At 49.0% G+C, this 3,261-nt stretch overlaps 1 long non-coding RNA gene across 1 annotated transcript; it reads right to left on the bottom strand.

Moving 5' to 3' along the window:
* Positions 1-272: 272 nt before the first annotated feature.
* On the bottom strand, positions 273-2,352 carry LOC105379518 (uncharacterized). Its single transcript, XR_951228.1, has 3 exons — positions 1,757-2,352; positions 847-905; positions 273-331 (listed from the first exon to the last, which is right to left on the bottom strand). It is a non-coding gene; the product is annotated as an uncharacterized LOC105379518 (long non-coding RNA).
* Positions 2,353-3,261: the final 909 nt, after the last annotated feature.

The raw sequence follows: 3,261 nt of genomic DNA, 5'->3' as shown, positions 1-3,261 counted from the left end.
ATATAATTATATGTAATATAATATATATCTTATATATCATATATTATATATTTTATATCATATACTATATATTATATATCATATATTACATATAATGTATGTCACATATTATATGTAATATATGTCACATATATGTAATATATGTCATATATTATATGTAATATATATCATATATTATATATGTCATTTATTATGTAATATGTATCATACATATTACATAATATGTATTATGGTGTCTGGTGGTCCCAGGACACAGACTGATGTCACTCAGCCTCACATGACACTCTGTCCTCACCACACTTGGGGTCCTGGGAGTCGTAGCACCAGGCACCTATAGAGACAGTGGGCAGGAGGCTGAGCTGAGAGACCAGTTATCTGGGTCCTCTCCAAGCCCCATCCCATCAACTGGGGTCCAAGAATGAAGTAGGCCAGGGGCTTAGGCCAGGGGAGGCCAGTGAAGAACCTTCTCTCCTGTCACCCCTACCCCAGTATTTTCTCTCCCCAGTCCCTCCCCACTCCCAGTGGCAAGACCTAAGGGGTGGTGGAGCATGGCAAGAGGGTAGATTGGAGACCAGACGGGAAGAGTCCTGGTGCTCACTCTCAGAGTCTGCACCACACCAGCTGCACTGCAAGGCGAGCATGATGCCAGGGGCGTGCGTGGCTCAGTGGCAGCCGCAGCTAGGAAGGACTAGAAAGTGGCTAGACCTCGGAGCCAGGATGCTGGCCTGGCTACTACATATTTATTCATTAGCTAGCTGGGCTAGGGGCGTGGCTATTGAGGAGAGGATGGGAGGGGTCGGTGCCCAGGCAGGGCCACCAGGAAGAGCGCGAGCGCTCCAAACTCACCCAGGTGTGCTCTGGTCCCAGGGCTGCACTGATGCCAGCAACAATCGCTGAGGTTAATCCTGCAGGGGAGGGGTGACCTATTATTATCCCCACTTACAGTCCAGGAAACAGAGGCTGGGGACCAGAATGACACACCAAAGCCACCAGCAAGAAAGGTCAAATAGTGAGGGCACCTTGAACCCCAGCGCCCATGACTTTCGGGGCAAGGATGGGAGGAAGGTGTAGGATGTCTCTTGCCCCGCTGTGGGCCTGGAACTGCCACCCCATCCCAAGACCACAGCCTCCCTCCTGCCCAGGCCCCCCTGCTGATCCAGGCCAAGATGGAGCCCTGCAGGAGGTCAGAGGAGGGGACTTCTTTGCACCCTGCGCCTCTTTCCAATCGCCAGAGGGCAGGGCCCTACCCACATTGGGGATGGGAAGTCAAATGCAGAAGTTAGGTGAAGTCAGTTCTTGGATACTCCTGTACTGTCACCCTGGTCTTATCTCATGCCTTAGCCCAAGCTGTGCACACAATGGGGTCCTAGGTCCCCCTCACCTCCCAGATTCCACCTTCCCAGGGATGGGACCCCCTAGAACCCTCGGGGGCCTGGGCAGTGGCCTTGCTGGCTCTTGCCTTCCTAGGAGCTGAGCAGGAGCTCCACTCTCAGCAGGGCAGTTCACTGCAGCCTCTGCTTCCTCAGCTCAAGCCATCCTCCCACCTCAGCCTCCTGAGTAGCTGGGAATGCAGACACACACCACCACGCCTGGCAAATTTTTGTATTTTTAGTAGAAACAGGGTTTCACCATGTTGCCCAGGCTGGTCTCGAATGCCTGAGCTCAAGCGATCTACCCACCTCGGGCTCCCAAAGTGTGGGAGCCAAGATGGGAACCCAAGCATACGGCCCCAATGCTGAGGCTCTGAACTACTGACCTGCCCTCAGCACTCAGCCTTGGGATCATGAGTCACTGTGCAAGGGAGTTCCAACATCTGCATGTATGTCTGGAATGATCTGAGCCTGCAGAGTTCCTACACACTGGCCACATTATAGGGTGGTGTCCGTGGTCACACAGCTCAGGGCAGGTATTTATTAGTACATGAATAGCTTAGCTGTGTCATAGTCTTTATGTGAAAGGCACTTAAAAGGCACTTTGGCAGGCTCAAAGTGTGGGGATTATAGGTGTCAGCCACCGTGCCTAGCCCACTGGATGACTTATGATATCATATGTGACATTGTGACATCATGTGAGTCAGGGATGTACCCCGTTCTCAGCTGCTATATGCTATGTTACACTGACAGAATGGGAATGAAGAATGTGTCCCACTCTCTCAGCTGTTGTATTATATCATACAAGGTGCAGTGACTAAGTGTGTCAGCTGTGTCCTCATCCTACATAGCATATGAGAGTGTGTGACGGGAGATAGGATGCAGACCTGAGAAGCATTAAACACCTAGGCAATAAAGGTGCCAGCATCAGCTGAGAGCGCAGGTAGACCTCAGTCACATTTGTTACTGTGTAACTAAAAATACAAAATTAGCTGGGTGAGGTGGTGCACGCCTGTGGTCCCCACTGCTCAGGCGCCTGAGGCAGGAGAATTGCTTGAACCCAGGAGGCAGAGGTTGCAGTGAGCTGAGATTACACCACTGCACTCCAGCCTTGGGGACAGAGTGAGACTGTAACTCAAAAAAATAAAATAAAATAATCTAGGACAACCAAGAGAAGGACTCAGGCTCACCTTACTCTATGTCACATGTGATATATAACACTTGAGGGGGACACACACTTGTCACTTTGTATCACTATGTCCTATATGATAGCCAATGATAACCCAAGAGGGGGAGGCAGCCTTGTTCACACCATGTCACTTATGATATTATATGACATCAAGGAGCCCAGACCTCAGTTGCATTATGTCACTATGGCACATACAGTATCATGCAACAACTGACAGAAGGGTTGTGGGCCTGATTCACAGTGTATGTGAGTCACAAATGTCACTTATGACACCATACAGCAGGTGAGAGGGGATAGTCATTATTCACCTCGGGTCACATTGTCACACATGATACCATATGATAGCAGAGGGTGATGCAGAACTGAGTTGTATTATGTCGCTATGTAACCTGTGATAGATGATAGCTGATGCGGGTGAAGACCAAAGTTACATTTTGTACCTACATTATATGAAATATACAACATGCACGAGGGAGGTGCAGACACAAATCACACTGTGTGCTGTATCCCATATATGTGTTTAATTTCTGTGTTTAAGAGAGCTGGGTTCATGAATGAACTTAGTCACTGCACCTTGTATGATATAATACAACAGCTGAGAGAGTGGGACACATTCCTCATTCCCATTCTGTCAGTGATTGACCACACCTTGTGTTAACTGTATGAGCCACTGTGTTTGGCCGTGTATAGCGCACGTGGCAC

Source organism: Homo sapiens, chromosome 22, assembly GCF_000001405.40.
Source record: "Homo sapiens chromosome 22, GRCh38.p14 Primary Assembly".
NCBI classification, from domain to species: Eukaryota; Metazoa; Chordata; class Mammalia; order Primates; family Hominidae; genus Homo; species Homo sapiens.
Note: the sequence above shows the minus strand (reverse complement) of the source record. Positions and strands in the feature narration are given on the sequence as shown.